This window comes from Homo sapiens, chromosome 1, assembly GCF_000001405.40.
Source record: "Homo sapiens chromosome 1, GRCh38.p14 Primary Assembly".
Lineage (NCBI taxonomy): Eukaryota > Metazoa > Chordata > Mammalia > Primates > Hominidae > Homo > Homo sapiens.
Genome location: NC_000001.11, coordinates 33,617,386 through 33,641,228, shown reverse-complemented (window position 1 = coordinate 33,641,228; position 23,843 = coordinate 33,617,386). Strand labels below are relative to the sequence as shown.

At 46.7% G+C, this 23,843-nt stretch overlaps 1 protein-coding gene across 12 annotated transcripts in view, besides 4 other annotated features; it reads left to right on the top strand.

Moving 5' to 3' along the window:
• The window catches only part of CSMD2 (CUB and Sushi multiple domains 2), a 651,845-nt gene that overhangs the window by 524,614 nt on the left and 103,388 nt on the right, over positions 1-23,843 (top strand). For all 12 annotated transcript variants that reach the window (XM_047443685.1, XM_047443656.1, NM_052896.5 and 9 more), the window contains 9 exons: positions 4,675-4,869; positions 5,899-6,015; positions 7,694-7,807; positions 14,648-14,743; positions 15,975-16,178; positions 16,586-16,710; positions 17,763-17,859; positions 18,958-19,062; positions 23,612-23,730. In XM_047443685.1, the coding sequence (XP_047299641.1) occupies positions 4,675-4,869; positions 5,899-6,015; positions 7,694-7,807; positions 14,648-14,743; positions 15,975-16,178; positions 16,586-16,710; positions 17,763-17,859; positions 18,958-19,062; positions 23,612-23,730 (1,172 nt within the window). The remainder of the gene's footprint in view (positions 1-4,674; positions 4,870-5,898; positions 6,016-7,693; positions 7,808-14,647; positions 14,744-15,974; positions 16,179-16,585; positions 16,711-17,762; positions 17,860-18,957; positions 19,063-23,611; positions 23,731-23,843) is intronic.
• Positions 4,225-4,395: a silencer, noted in NCBI's record as "fragment chr1:34102434-34102604 (GRCh37/hg19 assembly coordinates)". NCBI's record gives its function as "represses an EF-1alpha promoter that drives an FKBP-Casp9 reporter gene in an ReSE screen in HepG2 liver carcinoma cells {active_cell/tissue: HepG2}" and the evidence as "EXISTENCE:reporter gene assay evidence [ECO:0000049][PMID:32094911]".
• Positions 4,358-5,288: an enhancer, noted in NCBI's record as "OCT4-NANOG-H3K4me1 hESC enhancer chr1:34101541-34102471 (GRCh37/hg19 assembly coordinates)". NCBI's record gives its function as "activates a minimal SCP1, AML or CMV promoter by ChIP-STARR-seq in naive H9 embryonic stem cells {active_cell/tissue: H9 hESC(naive)}" and the evidence as "EXISTENCE:reporter gene assay evidence [ECO:0000049][PMID:30033119]".
• Positions 5,289-6,220: an enhancer, noted in NCBI's record as "OCT4-NANOG-H3K4me1 hESC enhancer chr1:34100609-34101540 (GRCh37/hg19 assembly coordinates)". NCBI's record gives its function as "activates a minimal SCP1, AML or CMV promoter by ChIP-STARR-seq in naive H9 embryonic stem cells {active_cell/tissue: H9 hESC(naive)}" and the evidence as "EXISTENCE:reporter gene assay evidence [ECO:0000049][PMID:30033119]".
• Positions 7,188-7,694: an enhancer, noted in NCBI's record as "H3K4me1 hESC enhancer chr1:34099135-34099641 (GRCh37/hg19 assembly coordinates)". NCBI's record gives its function as "activates a minimal SCP1, AML or CMV promoter by ChIP-STARR-seq in primed H9 embryonic stem cells {active_cell/tissue: H9 hESC(primed)}" and the evidence as "EXISTENCE:reporter gene assay evidence [ECO:0000049][PMID:30033119]".

Genomic DNA, 23,843 nt, shown 5'->3' with positions numbered 1-23,843 from the left:
TGTAACTTACAGGTGAGTGAGGGAAACAGCAAGAAGTAAGAAGCATAAGAAGTTAGGAAAGAAAACAACAGGCTCCTCTGAGAAACAAATCAGAAGGGTTGCTGTGAAGGCCTCTCTGAGCAGGATCCATTTAGACAGAGCCCTAAAGGTTAAGTAGAAGCCCTCTGTGCCAGAGTGGGGGCCAGGGGCGTTTCAGAGGGAAGAGTTTGAAGTGTGTGTTAGAGAATCTGAAAGAACACAGGAAAGACCAAAGTGAATCGATTTTTAATGGAAGGTCCTAAAAAGCATGTATTTTCTCTTTCAAGCCCTTGGAAGTAACACTGTGGGCCTGGAAGCTACGGCCACACCTGCTACCACCCCTATTCCCACCACCTGCTGCTGTTATGGGTCATTCTTCTTAAATGCAAATTAGAACTATCTTATATTCTGCCTCCTTTTAAAGGAATGCATGTTTGTTGGAAAAATTCAAACAATATATAAGCATATAAGATATACTCTTAAAGACTTAGCATGCCCCCAAATACCATCATCCCGTGCAATACCATTATTAACAGCTTGGTATCTCATTTCGGATACTTTCTATAAATATAAAGTAATGTAAAGTCTGTATCAGGAGTTGGCAAACTTTTTCTGGAAAGGGCCAGAGAGTAAGTATTTTTACTCCAGATGGTCTCTGTTGCCACTGCTCAGCTCTGCTTCGTAATGCTAAAGGCAGCCACAGACAATATGTAAACAAATGGCTGTGTTCCAGTAAAACTTTATTTACAAAACCAGGCAGCCACCGACCTGTGGGCTGTAGTTTGCTGATCCCTGTTCTATATGAATGAGATTGCACCATATGTACTCATCTGTAATCTGATTTTTTTGTATGTGAGCCCAAGAATAGATCTTGGACTCCTTCCCATATCAGTATTCAAAGAATAGTGCTATTCTTTTAAAAGGCTGCTAGTGTTTCAGTAGATGGCCCTAATCCACCCTTTGTAACCAGTTCCTTACTGGTTGAATGTTTGGGTTATATTCAGATTTTTGCAGTTATAAGGTTTGGAAGTAAGCCTCATCTATTAGGACCAGAGAGAAGCTGGCTCTTCTCATTTTCCCATTTTGAAGGGCTTGGGTTTTATTTATTATAATCACCATGATGTTTTAGTCATTTAGTGTTATCATTCACAGCTGAGCTTTGGTTTGGCTGACTAAAGACCTGATTTTGGTCTTAATTCTACCTCTAAATAGCTGAAAGGCTTGGAAGACTCATTTGGCCTCTCTGATCACCATATTCCTCATCTATAAACTGAACATGAGCATAACCGGCCCTGCCTTCTGCAGAGGGTATTGTGAGACACAAATGAGATAACGGCTTGGAAAGTGCCTTGAAAATTATGAAGTGATATTCCTATGTAAGGGGCTATCATCACTGTCATTATCCATGTCATTATTATTAATGTGGTAATGCTTGGGATGATGAGCTCATCTTTCTCTTACGTGTGAGTAAATATAGAATAGAGTCTGTAGTTGGAATCGTTGATGTGGTTGTTGATTTTCCAAGCCTCAAAGTATTCAGCCAAACAATTCAGCAGCCATTTATTAAGCCTCTATTATGTGCCAAATAGGGCTAGCCTTGGTGCCAAGTTCTGTGCTAGTTGCCAGGGTTATGAGAAGATCAGGTGATGAACCTTCTCCTCCAGGAGTTCAGAACCTACTGGAAAGAAATACCCTTACCCAAGTTACCAAAATAGCGTGATACATGTTATAACCAGGGAAAGAAAAACAGAATTCTGCCAGAGAGAAGGTGGCATTAAAAGTGTAGGATTTTGCCACACAAATAAGGAAAGAAAGGACATTCTGACATCTGTAAAGTTCTGGGCCAGTCATTCCCAGCTAGGGTCCAATGCTGGTGCAGCAGTTACCCAAAAACACAGTTGCCTGAACAAGGTAGACATTTATCAGACTTCCTATAAAAGAAATCTGGAGGACAGCGCCCAGGATTGATGAGGGAGCTCCACCTTGGCTGCTTTTGTCTCCCTACTCTACCATGCTAGTCCATGGATCCCATTTCAACGTTATCTCCGATCCAAGATGGCAACTGAGGTTCCAGCCATCATGTCTGAGTTCCAGACTGAGAGAAGGAGGAAAGATGCAAGGAAGGAAAGGCCAATAAGCATTTCCCTCAGCTGAGTCAACTTCCCTTAAACAGTCTTTTTAAAAGTTCCACAATAATCCACTGAAGATATTTGTTAAGTGCCCACCATGTGACAGACACTGGAATATGGCCGTGAACAAAACTGAACAGCTGCCCTTCTGAAATCTATATTCTAGTGGAGGAAGACAGAAAAAAATAAGGTCAATATAGAGTCGATGAGAGAGTATTAACTGCAGTGGAGAGAAATATAGCAGAGGAGGGTGTTGGGGGCATTGGGGAGAGGAGTATTGCAATTTTAAGTAGCTGCTCAAAGAGTGTCACTGAAGGAGAAATTGAGCTAAGTCCTGAAAGAGGTAAGACAGGGAGCCACAAAGACCAGAGGCCAGTGTCGTTGGAGCAAAGCTAGCATAGAGACGACAGGAGCTGAGGTCACAGAGGGGACTATTGGGGCCACATGTGCAGGGCCTTGAAGGCCTGTAAGGATTTTGGTTTTACCCCAAGTGACACGGGAGGCTATTGGATTGTTTTCAGCAGACATGATCTAACTCGTGTTTACACAAGGAGGCTGGGAAATGTAGAATTTAGCTGATGCCTTCAAGCTCTGGATAAAATTGGAGTTCTGTTATTGATGGATGAAGGTGGGGAAAGTGGTTATTGGGGACTACAGCTAGTTTTGCCTCTTATGAGCTGTGTGAACTTTGATTCCAAGTTACTTAATTTTTCTGAACTTTAGTAAGATTTAACCCACTTTGAATTTATAAAAAGGATAGATGAAACAAAAGACATGATGACAGGTCCCTGGATCTCTATGACTCACATATGGGTCACCCAGTGGCCAGTTCTATTCTGGCCAGAGACACTAGGCATATGGAGAAGACAGATTTGATAAAGGAGGTCAAGGCAATGCATCACGGGGCACATGAGGAAACCACTGAGGAGTGCCCTGTGACGAGTGGCCATGTTGTCGGTCCCACTTGGGTTTAAATGCAGTAGTGCATCCAGAGCTGCTCCACTCTCAGCTGCGGGCAACGACTTAAGGTGCAGGATCTTCTCACATGCTCCTGTGCAATAGTGAGACTCTCAGAGTTCCATCCCATCAGTCAACCAGATGATTGGCAGCTGAGTGACAGCCTCAAGTAGTGGCCGCCTCCTGTGTAGGTAATCTAAAAGGTACCCAGGTGACAAGGACGGCCCTCAGCAAAATTCCTCCTGAGCCATTCATCTCTGATGAATGAACACTGATCCCTTCTATTCTGGTTCTTCCCTCCTTAACTCCACTCTTTGAATTTCTGAGTCCTTCTGCAAGGACTGTCAGCACCCTTTTGTGAGTCCCCATCTCTAGACCTCTCTGTTGCCCCCCAATAATGTATCCTCCAAAATGCTCATCAGTCAACCTGATACTCAGTTGCATCTCCCTGGTACTGACTGGCCTCAGCTGTATCCTGTTACTGCCCAGCCCTGGTGACAACCCTCTTGACCATCAGTTATCTTAGAACAAGGAGGACGGAGGAAAGGTAATCATGCATAGAAGCGTGAGCATGGGCTCCCAGTTGCTGCTCAGGATTTCCAGCTGATGGTGAGGGATGCTGGAGAGTGTCCTACTCCAGAGATTTGGGACTTGGACTAGTACTCTCAAGCCACAGGCAATGTCAAGAGTGGTCTTGTTTGATGCAGAGCGACAGAGTAGAGGACTGTTTATTCATAAACTGTATGACTGATAGGGAAGACATGTAAGGGTCAATAGCCACATGAAAAAAATACTGTGGTTTTCATAAACTGGCAAGCACCCAATACCCAGTGCAGAGCCCTGGAAAACTGCACTGGAGACATCAACTTATCCCACCGGTCGGGTAACCCAACCCAGAGGTGGAAGTGAGTTTTGTACTTCCTCCCTGAATCTAAGTATTGGTACCCATGCACTCAGAAGAACCTGCAACAGATGGGTATGACTGGGCCTGCAGAACAGATGCCAGCTCTACTCCCCAGCCAGTGGTACAGATGGGGCAGAAGAGAGAGGAAGAGAAAGAGCATCTCCAAAAGCAGACTGTCTGCCCTGCTTCTCAGGTGAACACAAAAGGCCAGGAGGCTGCTGAGTGTGGGGGGTCAAAGATGAGTAAAGTGATGGGCTGTACCTAAGCACTGACCTTTACCACAGTGACCCTGCCGGCAGCTGAGATGTGGTCCAGGGACTGTCAGCCCCCACCAGCCAGAGAAACACATGTTTCCCTTGGGGAGGAGCAAGCAGGGGATGAGAGAGGGCCTCAGCGATTTTGCTGGGCCTCCTTCCTCTGTGGGTCAAGGCAAGAACATGGGGGGAGGAGGGGAAATTGCCCTCTTCAATGTGATTTCCATCCTTCAATTTCTACCCAAATTTAGAGACGTTTCTAGACCTGAGGGGAATAGGAGCCACAGTCACGCATCCCCGTGTGCTCTGTGGCTAATTAAAGTCGGGTTCTCCTCATGGGCACTGGAGCCCAAGAATAGCCTCCTCATGAGCCCTCTGTGTGTGTGCACGTGTTTGTATTTCTTTTTCCCAGAAAACCCGCGGGAGTCATGTTTTGATCCTGGTTCCATCAAGAACGGCACACGGGTGGGGTCCGACCTGAAGCTGGGCTCCTCCGTCACCTACTACTGCCACGGGGGCTACGAAGTTGAGGGCACCTCGACCCTGAGCTGCATCCTGGGGCCTGATGGGAAGCCCGTGTGGAACAATCCCCGGCCAGTCTGCACAGGTGGTGGAAGCCTGGGGATGGCAGGGGTCTGAGGAACTGAGGGCATGCCAGGGGCAGAGGGTGCTGTGGGCTGGGGAAGGGAGGGGGGCAAGGTCCTCAAGCCCGGCTCCTCCAAGCCTGGCAAACCTGGGTTTGCCGTGGATGTGTATAGAAGTGGCTTATAATTCACTAGGTGTGCAGTTCCTTTCAAGGTATCATCTCAGAACCCATGGTGTCCCTACCCCCATTCACATAGATGCTCATGCCCTCAACAGAGGCCCCCAGACATGCCACATCAGGGAGCTCACACCAGGGAGAAGTCATTTAAAGGTGGCTCCTGGACTAGTTCCTAGGCCTAGGGAAAATCACTGAGAGATCAGATATGTTGAAGTAAGGCCCGCAGGGTGTGCTGATTCCAGGTGGGTCTGGGTGAGCCATGGGGGTCCTGACAAGAGAGATAGGAATGAGTATCAGGGCTTTAAGAGCTTGGTGACCACCCATTGAAAAGCCAAGCATACCCCCTTTGTCATGGTAAGAGAGGCAGGCTCAGACCCGCCCCTTGTGGAAATTGGGCACCTTGGAGAGGAACAGAAGGTGGCTGGGTCACATGGGCTGGCCACTCCCCATGGGGTTAGTCCGGGGAAGCTTCAGCTCCCTATTCACACTGACACTCACTGTCCAGGTTAGATGTCAGCCAGGGCAGCAGATCATTTCTAGGCTCCACGTGTAAGCAGAAGAGGTTCCTAATGTGCTCCCTAAGGCTGTGACTTCAGGGACCAATGCCAGGGTTAATAGGTAGAGGGCAAGAACTGACACCTGCCCAAGAGGGCCCTCGGTAGCTTCAGGGCAAGTTTCAGGCTACATGCCAGGCCAGGGGTGCACGTTCTTGGGCAGGGCAGGGTCCGCAGGACTTGCCTTCTCCAAGCTAGGGCCTGCCCACCTCAGGGCAGCCCTACTGGGGCCAGAAGCTCAGGCTGGGGCAGAACAGAGGATGGTCACTGGTAAGAGGCCCACAAGGTCACCTGACTCTCTATCTGGTTTCTCTTTCAGCCCCCTGTGGGGGACAGTATGTGGGTTCGGACGGAGTGGTCTTGTCCCCCAACTACCCCCAGAACTACACCAGTGGACAGATCTGCTTGTATTTTGTTACTGTGCCCAAGGACTATGGTATGGGTTTTGGTTGTTGTTGTTCATATGTTTTCTGACTCCTCACCCTCATTCCAAAATGAGCAATTCCTCAGACGCCTCCCAATTATATACAGCCCCATTGTGGGAATCGCAGAACAGTCTCCCCAAAAGGACGGCCGAGTGCTGACGTTTCTCAAACGGGCTGCAGAATACATTCCGGACACAAGAGGGCAGAAGGGCACAAGTGAGCCCCGCCAGAACCAAGGGGACAGAGTTGGTGAGAAACTGGCCAAGACAGAGGGAAGGCAAGGTGCCCCAGGGGACTACCCAGTATGGCCCAAGTCCTAAGGGAGGTGCCGCAGATCTAGACCTGTTAGGAACCCAGGGTGAGTGGCCAAGGAGCAGGAGGGAGGAGAGGAATGGGATGGAGCTGGGCTTGAAAGTGCAGGTGAGGGAGACCAGGAGCCACATCATTCTGGTGTCCCATCTGAGAACCAAAGCCTGGTCCAGAAGCTATAGGTAGGACAAGCAAGAAAAAAGTGAAAAGCAGACCAGTGCCCTGGGAAGACAGAGAAACTTCCAGATTCCAAGAGATGTGGGCAGAAAAACCAACCCAGGCTCATTACCTGGTTGGCAGTGGGGACATTCAAGAGTCCTGCCAGCCTTGGAGGCATTCAGGAAGATGAAGGGCAACCAGGTGACCAGGCTGGCTTCTTTCTTCCTGGATCTCCTCTTTGTAGGAGGACTAACAACCATATCTAAACACAATTGATGTTGGATGTGGCAAAGGACATCAACATGTCCCGACCACCCAGGGGAGGAGCAGGACGGAGGGAGCAGCCTGCAGAGAGCCAGCTCCTTATTCCCCAAGACAGGATGGGCAAGCACAGAGCAAGGCCTGATGCTTGAGGCGTTCGCCAAACATTTAGTAAGCACCCATTGGGGGCCACGCACTTTACTGGGTCCTGGAGTTGCAGAGATGAGAGAGACATGTTCTCTGTCCTCTATAAATTCCCAGTCTCATCTCTACCCATAGCTCCAGCCATCAGTACACCCACTCCTGCCCCAGAACCAGGACACCTATGTACATGTACACACACTCCCCAATATACTGAGGTGGCAGGGGCCTCAGACCTGCAGGATCGCAGTTAGAAAAGTCCTGAAAGGCTGTCCAATCTGATCTGCTACCCAGAGCAGAATCCTTGGTAGGTGGGCATGCAGTTTGTGCCTGGATCCCTCCAGTGATAAGGAGCTCACAGCACTGACTACAGATCTCTGTATACAGTTTTCAACTCAATGACACTGACTAACTGACGTTGGGACGCATGAATGTGGGGTCCTGACATCGCATGGAGAATGAGGGATGGTACCCAAAGCCCTCTGATGGCCTCCAGATAGCTGCTGCAGCTGCTATCTGGGAAAGGAACAAAGTTGGCTCCATTTCGCCTCTACCCGCCTGACCTTTGGGTGCAGCCCTCCATGTTGTCTTGACCCTTGTGAAGGCCAGCCCGGCCTTCCCAGCTCCCCGCCTCCCTGTGCCGGGTGTCTGGCCACTGCCAGACTGTGCCACTGCACTAACCAGTGCAGCAAGCCACAGCCCAGGAACCAACAACTTCCCCAGGGCTGCCCTCCTCCTGGCTTGGGCCCCTAGACCCCTAGATCCCCTCTCCTGCCCCCAGCGTGCCTGCCCAGTCCCCACACTGTGTCTCCTCCACAGTGGTGTTTGGCCAGTTCGCCTTCTTTCACACGGCCCTCAACGACGTGGTGGAGGTTCACGACGGCCACAGCCAGCACTCGCGGCTCCTCAGCTCCCTCTCGGGCTCCCATACAGGTATCCGGGGCTCGGCCAGTGTGGGGATGGTTGTGGGCCGGGGGCATCACGTCCGGCTAAAGGAAGGAGGCTCTAGAAGCACCCCATGGCCGCAGGTGGAACCCTACGGCTCTGCGTGCCTGTCGTGTTCTGGTGCTTGTCTACAACGCAGCAGCCAGCTCGTGAGAGCTCCAACTAGCGGGGCCTTCAGCAGCTGCCCTCACCCAGACTGTGTCTACACCGCCCCCTTGTGGTGTAGCCTTCTCCTGTTGGTTCGTATTCAGATGCAACTTTTTTTCTTACTATAAATGTATTGCATTTTCATTATAGAAAACTTAGTGACAAAACAAAATAATTGCATACAGAATCAAAATAAAGACTACCCCGAAAGAGCCACTGACAAGATGTAGTGGATTTCCTTCCAGTCTTTGTATCTACTTCGACGTTTACATATTTTATTCAACAAACCAATATACATATTTTATTGAAATATTCGCTACGAGCTTTTCTCTGTCATTTTTTTTCTTCTAGGCTAGGATTTTTAAGTGCTACATAGTAGTCTCTCATACAGTTAGTTAAAATTTATGTAACGAATTCCCTATTATTGAACATTTAGATTGTAATGTTTTGTGCTTATGAATAGTAATGCAATGTATTGTACATACATCTTTATATACATTTCTGTTACTTTAGAATATCTAGAAGTGGAATTGTCAAGTTAAAGGATATGTGAGATCTTTAAGGCTTTTTATGCAGATTATCAAATATCCCTCTAGAAAGATCTTGTCAGTTTGATCACCAACAAGAAAGAGGGCATGTTTTATTCTCACAAAAACCAGGTAATTAAAAAAACAAAAGCGTCATCAGTTTGAAAAGTGAAAATGGTATCTCATTTTCTAATTTGCCTTGTTTTATTACTAGTTAGGTTAAATTTTTATAATGTGTTTATTGGCCTGTGCATTTTTTATTTGTGAATTTATTGTGAATTTGTGTCGATTTTTCTACAAGCACTTATTTTCTTATTTATTGAGTAGAGCTCCATATTTTATAAGCTACATAAATATATATAATATGCTATAAAAAGCCCTCCTCTCCAGCTTGTCTTTTGCTATATAATTTTCTTCAGGGTGCTTTAATGTCAGAATATGTAAATTTCCCATGCTATCAAATCTATCAATGTTTTCTTATATAGTTTTCTCCTTTGCTTTTATGCTGGTCAAATAAATATTCCTCTGTGTTTTCTTTCACTTCTTAGTTTCATCACACTGCTTTAATACCTTTGGAATTTATTTTGATTTATTATTTGATATAGGGAATCTAACCATATTCTTTCAAATATAGTTAATCAGTTGTCCTAGCAGAATTTTCAAAATGCCAAATTTACATATACTAAATTTTTATGAAGGGTCTGTTCTTAGACTTTTTATCCATTTCTTCCAAGTGTCTATTTATTCCTTTTTTAGTTTTAATTATTATAACACTATAATAGTGTTTACTATATAATAATTTTAAATACATGGTACTATAAGTCCCCAGAGCCATTCTTTGTTTTGAATTTTTATTGGCTGTTGTTGCTTACTTTTGCCTCCAAATTATATTTAGAAATATTTTGTTAAGTTTAAAACATTGCATCAGAATCTTGACTGGGATTTAATAAAACTTACACGTTAAATTAGGGTGAACTCACGTTTATATTAACTCTTCTTCCCATCCAGGAATACAATATGTCTCTCCATTTGTTTATCTTCTGTAGCCCTTGGGAGGGTGCTATAATTTTTATTTAGGCAGTATTCATTGTTTGTTAACTTTATTCCCAGATATTTCATGGAGATTTTTGTTGCTGTTGTAAATGGGTCTTTTTTCCCCCATTATGTTTTCTAGCTGGTCTTTACTAGTATATTCAAAGACTGTTGTTTTTGGCATATTTGCTTTGTAAAGTCATCAGACTCTTCATAATACTGCTTACACTGCCAACTAATTCTCCTGGCTCCTCTAGGCAAGAAGTAATATCATCTGCAAATAAATTTGTCTCATTATTTTATCTCCTCCTTTTCAGTGGCTTTTCTTTTATTTTCTTCCATGGTTATTGGTCTATTCAGGTATATTACTCTAATATCAATGTTGATATTTTAGCTTTTAGTAAAAAATCCATTTCATAATTTCATTTACATTTAGTACCACAATGTATATAATGTACTATGGTGATGTTTACCCTGCTTTGTATTAGTGGTGATATTCCTGCCTTTGTTATCCTGCATCGTGCATTCATCATCCCCTTTTTACTCGGCTGTACCAGGTGTTTTGTGTTTTTGTGGGTTTTTTTTAATTTTTATTGCTGCAATTTATCAATTATTCTGCAGTTTGTTGTTGCTTTTTTTTATTAATCTCTGCCTTTATTTCATCATTTCCTTCCTCATATTTTTCTTCTGATTATTTTGTTCTTGTTCTAACATCTTGAATTGAGAGCTCTGTTCATTATTTTCTCTGTGTAATAAAGAACATGTTTACAGCGATGTATTCACCTCCAAGCATAGTTTTGGCTTCATGCCATAAATTTTGATATGTACTATGTTCATCATCATTACTTTTTAAATAGCTCATCATGGTGTTGTTTACTCTTTTTGCCCAAGTGTTGGCTAAGAATGTCTTTTCTTTTCCCCTAAGAATATGGATTTTGTTCTTATTGCATTAAACTTTTGTGTTAATTTATATTTTTATTTCCATGTAGTGAAAGAATGTGGCCTGTACCATTTCTTCTTTGGGGATTAATTGAAGTCCCTTCAGTAGCCAAGGACCTTTTTTTTTAGTTTTCTAAATATTTAAGAAGGATGTGTGTTCTCTGTAAGGTAGAGAAGCAAGACGAATGAGCTCAGGCTCTACAATCACACTCTTTTCTTAGCTCTCCTATTTGTTTTCTAGGTGACTTAAGGCACAATACTTGACCTCTCTGAGCTTCAGTTTTCTCCTCTGTAAAATGCAAAGAAAAAGAGTCCTACCTCCTAAAGTTAGTGTTAGGAGTAAATGAGTTTTGTAATTGCCATTAAATCAATCTTACTCAATTTTGTTATTCAGATCTATTGTATCAGTGATTCTCAACCAAATGAATTTTTTGTAACCACCACCTCACACATACACACCCAACCAAGAGTGTAAATCAGGAACTCCTGGAGTAGGATGCCTTTTCAAAACAGATAGATAGATAATGTATAGCTATAGATTTAGAGTTATAGTAAGGATTTTCAAGTAAAGAGCTATAGAGAGGTCTACATTTAAGACCTATAGATGTAAATATGGATGTAGATATAGGTGTATAGGACCAATAGAAACAGGAAGTAAGGAAGGAAGGAAGCAAGGAAGGAAGGAAGGAAGGAAGGAAGAAGATGGGGGAGGAAGATGAGAGAGTGAGAGAGAAAGAGAGAAAGATGTATAAGACCTGTAGATATAAAACTCCTGACCTCAAGTGATCTACCTGCCTCAGCCTCCCAAAGTGCTGGGATTACAGTGAAACCCCATCTCTACTAAAAATACAAAAATTCACTGGGCATGGTCGTGGGTGCCTGTAATCCCAGCCACTCGGGAGGCTGAGGCAGGAGAATCACTTGAACCCGGGAGGTGGAGGTAGCAGTAAGCCAAGATCGCGCCATTGCACTCCAGCCTGGGCGACAGAGAGAGACTCCGTCTCAAAAGAAAAAAAAAAAACCTGTAGATATCAATATCAGTATATTCAGAGAGTCCCTTATTCCTCATTTGGAGAAACACTGATAACAAGCCATTGGTACTGATGGGAGTGCACTATGTCCCTGTCCCTGAGTTGCGTTGGGGGAGAAAAAGCTTAAGGACCGCTACTCAACAGTCTTCATTTTGTTTTTCTATTTGATGTATCAATGATTGTGAATGTTGCATGAAAGTATTTCCCATTACAGTTATGATATTTTGTTGTCTTCTTGTATATCTAGCAATTTTTGCATCTGTTTTCCTGACATATCTTCTCTCATTTTCTCCAAGTCTTTCTCTTTTAAGAGGAAGTTGACTCATTTATTTTACAAGTGAATTATTTGGTCTGATATCTGTCATCTTGTGTTGTTCTTTCTGCGCTTTTGTTTGTGTTGTTTTGATTTTGCTTCCTCGCTTTTCCATACATACCTGACCCATCTCTAATTTTCAAGTTTTTCTTGATATATTTGGACTTTTATATTAATGTTATAGTAGTTATTTTTTAAATTGTGGACTTCTTCCCCAAGAGCAAATTTTTGAATTTGCATTTGCATTTTGTTTTGTTAGCTCATTGACAATAGTTATTATACTTTTCTGGTTGTATTTATCCCTGCTGGTGTCTGAATTCCCTACTTTAGTTTTGGGTTTTGTTTTTTTTTTTTTCAGTAGGGCTTATAACTGCAGTACTTTCTGTACCATGCATATATGAGAATGCTTTCCTTTTGACATGGGATATAAATGACACCTTGATTGTAAATCAAATTACGGGTCAAACTTTATCTTTCAAAACTGCAGTAATTATTCCACTCTATTCCAACATTTACTGTTACAGACAAATTGGGGTCCAACGTGATTCTTTGTCCTTGTAAGTAACCTGTGCTTTTCTGTCTATGTGATTTTCTTTTTTTGTTGTTGTTAATTAAAAAGCCCACTGGGAGGTGTTGTGGTGGAGGTCTCTTCTCACTAATTCTACCTTGCACTTGGCAAATATTTCAATCTGTACCTCACATCTTAGGAAAAGTGTCTTCTTTCTTAAATGATTTTTTTTTTTTTTTTTTTTGAGACAGAGTCTCACTCTGTCACCCAGGCTGGAGTGTAGTGGTGCAATCTCAGCTCACTGCAACCTCTGCCTCCCAGGCTCAAGAGATTCTCCTGCCTCAGCCTTCCGAGTAGCTGAGACTCCAGGTGTGCTCCACCATACCCGGCTAATTTTTGTATGTTTAGTAGAGATGGATTTTCACCATGTTGGTCAGGCTGGTCACAAACTCCTGACCTCAGGTGATCCGCCCGCCTCAGCCTCCCAAAGTGTTGGGATCACAGATGTGAGCTACTTCACCCTGCCTTAAATGATTTTTTTTCTCCTTCAATTTCTCTGTCTTCTCTTTCTGAAATTCCTGATACATGCATATGGATTTTTTTTTCATCTTTCACGTCACTTGTCATTTCTCTCGTTATTTTAATCTCTTTATCCTTTTTCTGTGGATTCTGAGAGAATTTCCCAAATTTCATCTCGACTTCACTGTTCAGTTTTTGTGGAATCCAGCTGCTTGCACTAGCATTTCTCATCTCTTTGCAGCCTTTATTGATCTCAGATCCTTCTTCCTCTGACTTCACAGATGCAATGCTAGATTTAATCTCATGACAACCATGACTGAACATCTGCTGAGAGTTTTGCCTGTTCTTTGTTGTGGTTCACATAAAGTATTTGCTTTGACTTCTTAGAGTGATCTCCTTCCTCAAAACTTTAACATTTTTTCTTATGTCCAGTGATTTTACTATTTGCTCTCCCTTGAAGATGGAGGCCCGTGTGCCTTCAGGGCTGCAGTTGACATGGGTTCTGTGAGAGCTCACTAGGGTCGTTATCCACATCTGTCAGGCCAAATAGAAAAGTTGAGTTTCACTCTGCTCACATCCATCTGGAGGAGGAGTTGGAGATGGCAGTGATATCAAAGGGATGCTTTGCCTTCATGAGTTTCTTTCTGCTTTGGCAGCTACATGTTAGCTGGGGGCAATAACTGTTAGCTGGGACAATGACTCCTAGCCAGGCTCAGCCTTCTGGGTCACATACACATCTAAGCCTGCCTTGCAAAAGCTCTCTGCTCCCATATTGGTGGCATCACATGAGCTTCCTGGAAGTACAGGTGGACCTCCCAGTAGTTCCGTTGTGGGTCCCAACTCTAGCCCTCACTGTAGTGGAGATAGAGCCTGGTTCTCTGTAATCCCTGCTTCGTCCTGAGAATGGGGTCTGGGGTCAGCAGCGCTTCTCAGGGGTCCCTGAGGCTGCAGGGGGGCAGCAGGCAGAGTGGCCATGCTGCTGCCTCCACCCATGTTCTCCCTGCGCTTCCCCAGAATGGCAACTACACTAATTGGCTGCAGGTCCAGTTGGTGCTGTCTCTCCCCTGGCCCATCTGTACTGCACCAAGCAGAAGATATACCTTTGTCTTCTGCTACAAAAGCTGTCAGTCTACCCTGGTTTCCTGTGCCCATGCAGGTTCCCCCCAGTTTGTGTGTTATTGGCCGGCAATAGTACATCCTGGTTTGCCTGGGACAGTCCCACCATAACTATTGATAGCACTTTCTTTGACTCTCAAAAATGTTCTAGTATGAACAATACATTACACCATCGCTCTGGTAATCATTTCACAGGATGGTGGGAGAGTGTCTGGGAAAGACCAGTTGCTCCTAGATGATCACATCATCCTCCTTCCTAGAGGCCAATGCTATTTTTAAAAACTCAGATTGATGTCAGTTTTCCAAGTAAACCACCAGTCAGCCGGCTTGGTAACAGCTGCTGTCTCCATCCCTGTCGCTCCACACATCCCTAGCAGCCTTCTCCTTTCCGGCACAGGTCATTTAATCTTTCTGGACCTCTCTTTCCTTCTTTATTAAATGAGGGTACTGAACTCTGTCATGCCAACCTCACAGTGACCACAGGTCAAGTTAAGACCGTGAATGAAAAAGCTTTCTATAAACTTTAAATTGTAAAGTGCAGTAAAAATACGTGAGATTTTATTTCAGGAAGGCCTGGAATGTGGAAGGAATTGCTGCATGGGGTACTGGCAGCCCCTCCTTCCTGGCCAGGATTTTATCTTCTGGGCCCACCTGCTGGACTCACTGTTCTCTCCTCCTTGCCCCTTATCTCGGCAGGAGAATCACTGCCCTTGGCCACCTCCAATCAAGTTCTCATTAAGTTCAGCGCCAAAGGCCTCGCACCAGCCAGAGGCTTCCACTTTGTCTACCAAGGTATGGAGGACATGGACGCCGGAGGTAGGAAGGTGATCTCGGTTCTTAAGGGACTCGTGATCGAAGGGACAGGGATCTTTGACCTCTAGTCTGAGTCCCTTTCTCAGGGTGTTTGGGGGCAGTTACTAGTTTGTAGGGCAATTCCCTGAAATCCAGTTAATTTTATGCATTCACTTACTCAGCAGACATTTCTTAGACAAGTTCTGTGTTTAATGAGGAAGGAAATCAGACAAAGGCAGCCAGTTTTTTCCCCTTCCCCACTCCACCCATTGTCTGGCATGGTCCAGATGGCACTGAAGAGACCAGCCCAGGCATCTTACCTGGACTCCCCTGGAGCTTGGTTTTGTCTGCCAGGCACAGTAAAGGTGCGGGGAAAACACAGGCTTTGAAGTGCCGTGGACATCGATTTGAATCCCACCTCCCCACCTTCGAGCTAGGCTCCAGCTACGCCAGGCCTCAGAGCCTGTTTGCTCACCTGTAAGGAGCGGGCAATCACAATGCCTCACTGATAGGATGCAAAGAGGCTTCGGGAAGTAGCTGGTACCAACCAGCCAGTTGGTGTTAGTTCCCTTCCTTATTGGCCCAGAAAGGTAGTTTGGAGCATCCTGGTTTTCACCCCCAGGTCCCAACCTCTGCTTGCCCAGGAGAACATCCACTTTTGTAGGGCCCAGGTTCTAAGCATGGTCCTGTTCATTCGACTCTGCCCAGGATGAGCTGTGTTTCTCTTTGCAGGAGTGATCCTATCACAGGGGAGGCCATCCCGGGCCCATCAGCCATTCTGGGCGGCAGGAGGGAGGGGAGACTGGGGGTCATGGAGGGCAGGGCCCCAGGCAGGATCTTAAGGCACATGGGGAAAACAGGACAGAGGCAGGGCAAAGGCCCTGAAGGTAGAGGAGGAAGGCCCATTCTCCTTGCTAGGGAACGTGGGACCCTGATGAGTGAGGGGCGTCGTTGGGAAAGCAAAGAACAAAACTGGGCCTAAGGTCTGTGGGAGGTCCACGGCTCTACCTCCCGTGCTTTCCAGGAGCTGTGCTGTAGCGCTGTGTGTCCAACTATAATTCGGTATAACAGGCATCCTCCTAGTTAGCCCTCGAGCCCTTCCCTACGGGAGAGCATCCAGAGCCTCCCAGGGTTTCATCCAGACGGTCTTTGTTCCAGACCCGTTGTATGTCCGTCCCTGGGCCAGTTTCTGAGGGGTGAGGCCTCCCCTCAGTGCCCTTGTCCCCCACAGCGGTTCCTCGAACCAGCGCCACGCAGTGCAGCTCTGTGCCGGAACCCCGCTATGGCAAGAGGCTGGGCAGTGACTTCTCGGTGGGGGCCATCGTCCGCTTCGAATGCAACTCCGGCTATGCCCTGCAGGGGTCGCCAGAGATCGAGTGCCTCCCTGTGCCTGGGGCCTTGGCCCAATGGAATGTCTCAGCGCCCACGTGTGTGGGTGAGTAACCAGGACCCGGGCGTTGAGGGTGCGGGGGGCGGCACGTAGTCCTTTCTCTGTAGGGGAGGCAGTCAGCCCCAGTGATGCCCCACGACACACAGCAGCCGCTTCCCACCGCATGGCTGAGGTGGGGTGTCCCAGTCAACCCCAGTCCCCGGCGCTGTGGGCTGTGTGAAGACAGCCGGTGTACTGGGGACGGGGCACACGTGGAGAGAGGAGCTGGGCCCAGGGCCCCGAACAGAGTTGCATGGGGAGAGGCCGTGGAGAAGGCAGGACTGGGGACATTAGGGAGACACCCCCATGGGGAGGAGGACAAACAGAGGCTGGGGGCCATGAGGGAGGAGTCAGCTTGGGAAGGCTCCCACGGGAGGCCACAAAGCCTCTGACCCGATGGCCTCTCCTCCCAGTGCCGTGTGGAGGCAACCTCACAGAGCGCAGGGGCACCATCCTGTCCCCTGGCTTCCCAGAGCCGTACCTCAACAGCCTCAACTGTGTGTGGAAGATCGTGGTCCCCGAAGGCGCTGGCATCCAGGTAGGGGCAAGGGGGCGCCTCGGTCGGGCAGGTGGCCGTCTGCTCCCAGGTAACAGCTCACAGGTGACAACCACAGGTGCTGGCTGGTGCCAAGGCCTGAGTCAGGGTGAGCCAGGAAGAGACATATCAGCCCTGTACCTGCCCCTGCGGCTAAGGAGGCTCAGTCCAAGTGTGGAGATGTGGCTCCCATGCAGAAAACACAGCAGGTTCCAGGCCCCAAGAGCTTCAGGGACATGCGGTGGGAGTCGGGTAACCCAGGAAGGAGGAGAGGTGGGCATTGATTGGCCATGGCCAGGAGGGGAGGCTAAAAGAAGAAATGGGCCTGGAGCTGGAATCTGAAGTGTGGGAAGGATTCATAGAAGTTGTTCCTCAAATGGCTAAAGATTTTCTTAAGATTGTGAGGGTTAGAAGGGGAGGCAGTGCTAATGAGAAGAAAGAGCAAAGCACCCAGCACAGCTGAAGCACAGAGAACCCCCAGGCACACACCTAGGGAACCACGCACAGCATGAGCTGTAGAAGCTGAACTGGGGGCATAACTGGTACCCAGGGGTAAGAGCCAGGCAGAGGGAGGCCCCAGCATTGGCGTCAAGGCAGGGAAGAGGGTCAGGAGCCTGCAAGGCCAACAGAGAGGCAGCAAACTGGGAGTCCAGCAGACAGATCTGGGCAGGAGTGGGTTACGGGCTCATTGCTGCAGGACGTCTGATGAAATCAAGGCAGGAAAGTGGGGAAACCCAAGGAACATTCCAGAGATGAGGAGACAGTCAGTGAGACTGTCTTTCCACTTCCTGGAACTTCTTTTCCCCATTCTCTGCCTTGCAAAATATCCACTGTCTTCTAATCATTTTTTTCCACATCTGTCTTCCCCACTGGACAACGAGCTCCTTGGAGTCGGTTCTGCATCTTACTTTTATTGAAAGGGACTAGCACAGTGTTAGGCCCAGAGTAGATTCTCAACAAATTGAATTAACTACGGGAAGGGCAGAAAGGGAAAGCAGAGAAGGAGGGAGGGACGCAGGCTGCCTAACCAACAATTCACTCTTCTCCCTTCCCAGATCCAAGTTGTCAGTTTTGTGACAGAGCAGAACTGGGACTCGCTGGAAGTATTTGATGGTGCAGATAACACTGTAACCATGCTGGGGAGTTTCTCAGGTAAGCTGGGTTTCCAGGGGCTTCAATTTGGAGGGTAGTACTAGAGCTCATCATCATGAACATTGTTATTATCATTATTATTATTGAGATATCACTTATATTCCATGAAATTCACCATTTTCAAGTGGACACATCAGTGGTTTTCAGGAGATTCGAAAGGTCCTGCAACCATCACTACTATCTAATCCCAGAACATTTTGACCACCCCAAAATAAACCAGGTACCCATTTGCACTCCCCTCCCCAGCCCACACCTAGCCTCTAGTAACCAGTAATCTACTTTCTATCTCTCTGGATTTGCCTATTCCAGGCATTTCATATAAATGGAAGCCTTCTGTGTTTGGCTTCTTTCACTTAACGTGATGTTTTCAAAGTTCCCCCAGTCACAGTATGGTTCAGCACTTCATTGTAAGGACAGAGCATATTTTGTGTGTCCATTCATCAGTCAATGGCTTGTTTCCACTTTTGTGCTGTTATGAATAATGCTCATGCACAAGTCTTGGTGTGAACACACATTGTCACTTCTCTTGAGTATATACCTAGGAGTGGAATTGCTGGGTCATGTGGGAACTCTATGTTTAACTTTTGGAGGAACTTCCTGTTTTCCAAAGTGGCAACACCATTTTGCCATTCTAGTAATGGACTTCTGACTGAGTGTGGTGTATAGGTGTGCCCAGTGGCCAGGGCAATTATCTGAATCTTTTAGGCCCAGAACTCTAGGTGGCCAAGAGATAAAGAGGAGTCACATGCTTCAGATAAACTGTCCACACTGCAGGACTGCCCAGAGAATAATACAGGTCAGAGTTATCCTGAAGATGGCTATGAGGAGACCCAACTCATCCCTCACCCTCCTGCGGGCACATGGCTCTGCCACTGCTCATCTTACAGGAAGCAGATTGGAGTTTCCCCTCCCTCAGCCAGTAGAGACCTAGCCCTCTGAGGAGTGCTAATTTGTCATTTAGTGAGTTTCATAACTGGGGACATCTGGGGGCCTTGGGAGCAGAATGTCAGCAGGTAGCAAAATCCAGAGGAATGGGGAGGAATGCAAGGGCCTGGAGGAGCCAAACTTAAATGGTTTTCCCTGGTGTCCTTGCCCTAGGAACAACCGTGCCTGCCCTTCTGAACAGCACCTCCAACCAGCTCTACCTTCATTTCTACTCAGATATCAGCGTATCTGCAGCTGGCTTCCACTTGGAGTACAAAAGTGAGAATCCAGGGTCTTGGCTGGTACAGGGTTCAGGGTGGGACCTAAAAGTTGCTGAGCCCCTTCTGAGCAAGGATTAAACTGGAGCTGCATATTGTCCATCCCACTTAAGCCTTCCCACAAACCTAGGTGAAGATGCTAAAGCCCAGAGAAGGTCTGAAACCTCCTCAAGGCTGTGTTCTCGTCCAAGTGTCTGTTACTCGAAAACCTGTATGCCTGTTCAGTATCCACACCAGGAATGGGAAGGGGACTTGCATTGGCCAAGGTCCCAGTATATAATTGGGATGTAAGAAAATTGTGCTTTCCTCCCCCAGGTCTAAAACCTGGCCTTTCTAACCCCTAGTTCTATGATGCGATTATTTTTGAAGTTCCTCCTTTCATTGGCTACCTCACTCATCTTCTACCAGATTTCTCACTGCAGGCTCAAACCCTTATATCCTGGCTTCTGGCATCCCTAAGTGGTCACTACCAAATACTCTTCACAGAGAAAGATTTGTGGATGTGCCTTCTGGGGAACAAAGAAAGAGGTTTCTAGGGAAACTGCTTGCATACTGGGACTGCCTGCCCTACCCCCTTTCTCCACTGGGTACAGGAAAGAATAGGTAGGCAGCAGCATTTTTTACACTTTTATTCGGCAAATATTTATTGAGCATTTACAACATGCCAGGCACTGTGCTGGGTTTTGCCACGATTGGGAAAGATTAAGATGGGTCAGTCAAAGTCCACTAAAGAGAGGTAGACACATAGACAGAGAGGTGCATGACAGCATTACAGGTGCTCTCATGGATGGCTCTAGATGGTAGAGAAATGGTTCAAGGGAGAGAATGGTTGTGGGCGGGTGGAGATGCAAATGTTGTGAAGAAACATTGAGCACCTGCAATGTGCCCCGCCCTGTGTTAGGTCCCCGCAGTACAAAGGTCAATAAGACAAGGCCCCTGCCTTCAAAAGCACAAAATCTAGAAGGAGAGATGGACATGGGCACAGTCATTTTAGTGAAACCTAAGAAAGTGCAGAGGAAAGGAGAGATGCTAAGAAAGTACAAAGGAAAGGAGCTAAAGCTAGCCATGTAAGGCCTTGCAGAAGGGGATGCCTGAGTTAAGTTTGCAATGAGAAGTGAAAAATGCAGGAAGGCATGGTTGGCTAGACCATCTGCGACAGCATGGGCCTGTGCAGAAAGAAGGCCCACTGGGTGCTAGATGTCTGATTGGGTCAGAACTGTGTTATGCACATGCCCATCTGGGTCTGTGAAACAAATGAACTTCATCCAGCTGCTTCAGAAAGAATTAAACAGGTCCCAGGATGCTCATCACCTGAAAGAACTGAAGCATGCACCTGGAAAAAAAAAAAAAAAAAAAAAAAAGACCCAGGACAGCTAGAAGCAGACCCTGCAGGGTAAAGGGTAGGACAGGGACCTCTGAGACTCCTTCCAGCAGATATGTAAGGCTTCACTCCCCTGGTGGAGTGAAATATCCTGGGTTTCTCGACTAAATCACATTTTTTTCCTTTCATCCCTTCTTCTCTGTTCTCTCCAGTTTTCTCTATCCAATATTTTGAGCTCTTAAATGTTCCCTAGAATCTTCTCTGTTCTTTCTTCTTCCAAAGATACATTTTCTTTGTAAATCACTTTGCCATTCTACTGCCTCATTCCCAGGAAAAAAATCCACCTCTTCTCAATTTTCTTCGTCCAAGGGGACTGGCAGTTTTCCCAGTAGCTGACATTTCATGTGTTGTCCCCTCATGATGGGAAGAGCTACGGAGAAACAGAGCTTCCCACTGGTATTTGGAGACTGGAATTCCTAGGAGCCAGGGCCCTGTAGTTATATTTTATTTTGTAGGATAATCTACAAAGAGCTCACAGACAATAGAGAATTAACTGCTATTGTACAGGCAAATGGTTTTGAAGGGTACTGAAAAGTCACATCCACTGCTATGATTCATAATTGTTTATTTAATTTAAATGGAAATGGAGCAATATGCTTTCAAAAGTAATAAATTACATATGATAAAAAATAATTTTTCCTTTGTTGTAAGCATGGCTTAAATAAAATCAATCTGTGTAGCATAAGATAAGTTAGAATGGACTTTTCTATATCCCCCTCCATTTTTCTCTTCAGCCTCATCTTTCTCCCATTCCATTTTTCTTCCTACCACGCTTTTTTGTCCTCATTCTGCTCTTCTCTCCATCACTGGACAGTAAGTAGGTCTTTCCAATAAGTAGGTCTAGTTAGTTGCAACTACTGCACTAAATAGTGAGTTTTGTTCTACTTGGAGTGTGGAGAGGAATGGGGAGAAATAGACAAGATGACAAGTGAAACACTTGAAACTCAGTTTGATGGGTTTTTTTTAATGCTTGTCCTTGGGGTCTTTTGTCTCAGCTGCTGAGAGTTTTGGACAAGGCTCAAAGAGTTTTCATTTCCAAATATCACACTCATATCTTAAAAGCACATGTGGGACAGGAATTGCCTGGGAAAAGTGTGAGGAATTTCCAGAGTGATAGCAACGTTCTGTGGTTTTGACAGGTGTTTGGGTTACAAAGGTACAGGCATTTGTCAAAACTCAGCACATGTACACTCAAGATTATGATGTTTACTTGATTATTACCATGTTCATGCACAGTTTTTGCATTTTGTTATATGTGAGTTTCCCTCAGAGGGAAAAAAAGCACATGTAGTTATCAGAGTCTCATCTCTGAATGTGGCATGAGGACTCATTAGCTGCTGCCTGGGAAGATGGGTTGGTGGCTGATGGTCTAGGCTGATTGGTCCTTTCCTGTTTCTTTTCCATGAGCCCCTAGCTGCCTGTGGGCACTGGATACACGTGGGCTCCTCAGGGAGCCTGTATCCCCCAAAGGAGCCTGTATCCCCCAAGGGAGCCTCCAGAAGGGCCAAGGCTGCCATCTCCCACATTCTCTGGGCCATGCCACCCAGATACGGTCTGCCATCCTTCCATTTCTGCCGCCTTGGTTAGGAAGACCACTTTAGAGTTTACAGCTACCTCTCCGCCTCCTCATGAGTCTTCTGGCCCTTGCCCCTGGACAAGTGCCCTCCAAGTCCAGTCCAGCAAGACACAGAAACTTTTTAGTGCATGTGAAGTGCCTGCACCTGTACATGGACTCCTGCAGAGCACAGGAGAGGCAGGAAGCCCCCTGTCTGGAAATGCTACACTCCCATTTGCTGTGTGGGAGGCAGCCAGGGAGGGATTCAAAGCAGGATGAGGACTGTTTTAGGAGGGGAGGCAGGGAGAGCAGGGGACAGGGTCAGACATGGGCTCATGTGGCCTCAGGGCTTGGCTTCTGCTTGGCCGACCTGGGGTCAGACTGGGCTTGGTCTGAATCCTGGGTCTGTGGCTTACTAAGGAAATGTTTCAGTGCCTCCTATGGCCTGTGTCCTCATCTGTGAAATGGGATGTGAAGACCTGCTTGAAGGGTATGAGGGGATACCCTCACCAATGGGCCCCAGCCTTGCTCATGGAAGTGCTCAGTGAGCACTTCTCTTGGGAAGATGGTATGGACTGGCAGAAAGGAGGAGGAGGAAGATTAAGCTGGGTGCTCTAGCAAAACATTGTGTGCAATGCCAGGCATGTAATGAGGAATAAATGAGTGCAGGTTGAATTTGAAAAGTCAAGAAAGGAGACTGAAGGAGGAGCATTTGAGATCCTGTGGAGGTGATCTTGAAAGAGGACTAGGCCAAGATCATGAAAGTCCTTAGAACATCAGGATGAGAAAGTTGGATTCCATATTATAGGCCATGAGGACCTGCTTCAAATCACTGAGCAAGGAGGTCCCACAATTCAAGGAGAGATTTTAAGCAACACGAGTTGCCTGTGAGTGCAGGGTGGACTGGACTAGCAGTGGCTTGGGGTAGGGGATGAAGGAGGGTTTTAGCGGGGCCAGTGCTCAGTGAGGCCAGAGCTGAACACGGGAGTTGAAGTGTGAGAGGCCACCAGTGCTGCTCCCAGAAAGGGGCTGGCCTGACCTTGAAAACACAACAGGAGAAATAAGGCAGTGGAGAGTCTTATCTGCTAACACACTTTTCTCAGAGTCTTGGAAAGTCGGACTCTAACTGAGCCCCTGAGCATCGCTGATGTGTCCCTCCCTGCTCTCCTTCCTTCTTGACCTTCTTTTCCCTCTCTCTCTCTCTGTCTCTCTGTCTTAGCCCACAGGATCTGTCTTCTTAGGGTAAGGAAGACAGAGGGGAGTTAAGAGTAAGAAGCAGGAGGGATGTGGGAGGAGAGCATGCAGAGAAGTCTCCCTAGCTAAGCCCCCTAGCTAAGAGCTCAGTGAGTGGACAGGACAGCCAGCATCCCCTGGGATCACACCCACCTTCTCAAGGAGCTTTGGTCTGTTGAGCCTCCGTGCCATGTAAATATACTCTTTTTCTCTGTGTGCTGCAAGGTGAAGAGAGTTGGGAAGAACTAGCCTACAGGATGAGAGAAAGCACAAATTAGAAGCACCCCTTCTCCCTGCCACCAGCATCTCACCCCAGCCTACCGCCACGTTGACCTGCTGGGCTAGTCCATTCTCCTTTCCTTCTGTCTCTGTCTTGTCTAGCGGTGGGCCTGAGCAGTTGTCCGGAACCTGCTGTGCCCAGTAACGGGGTGAAGACTGGCGAGCGCTACTTGGTGAATGATGTGGTGTCTTTCCAGTGTGAGCCGGGATATGCCCTCCAGGTACCTCCCCTGACACCCTAGAGCAGGAAACAGGTGTCCCCTGAGATGTGGTTGGCCAGCCTTACACCAGCAGAGCTACAGTCACCAAAGAACAGGGAGCAGCCCCCAGGTCC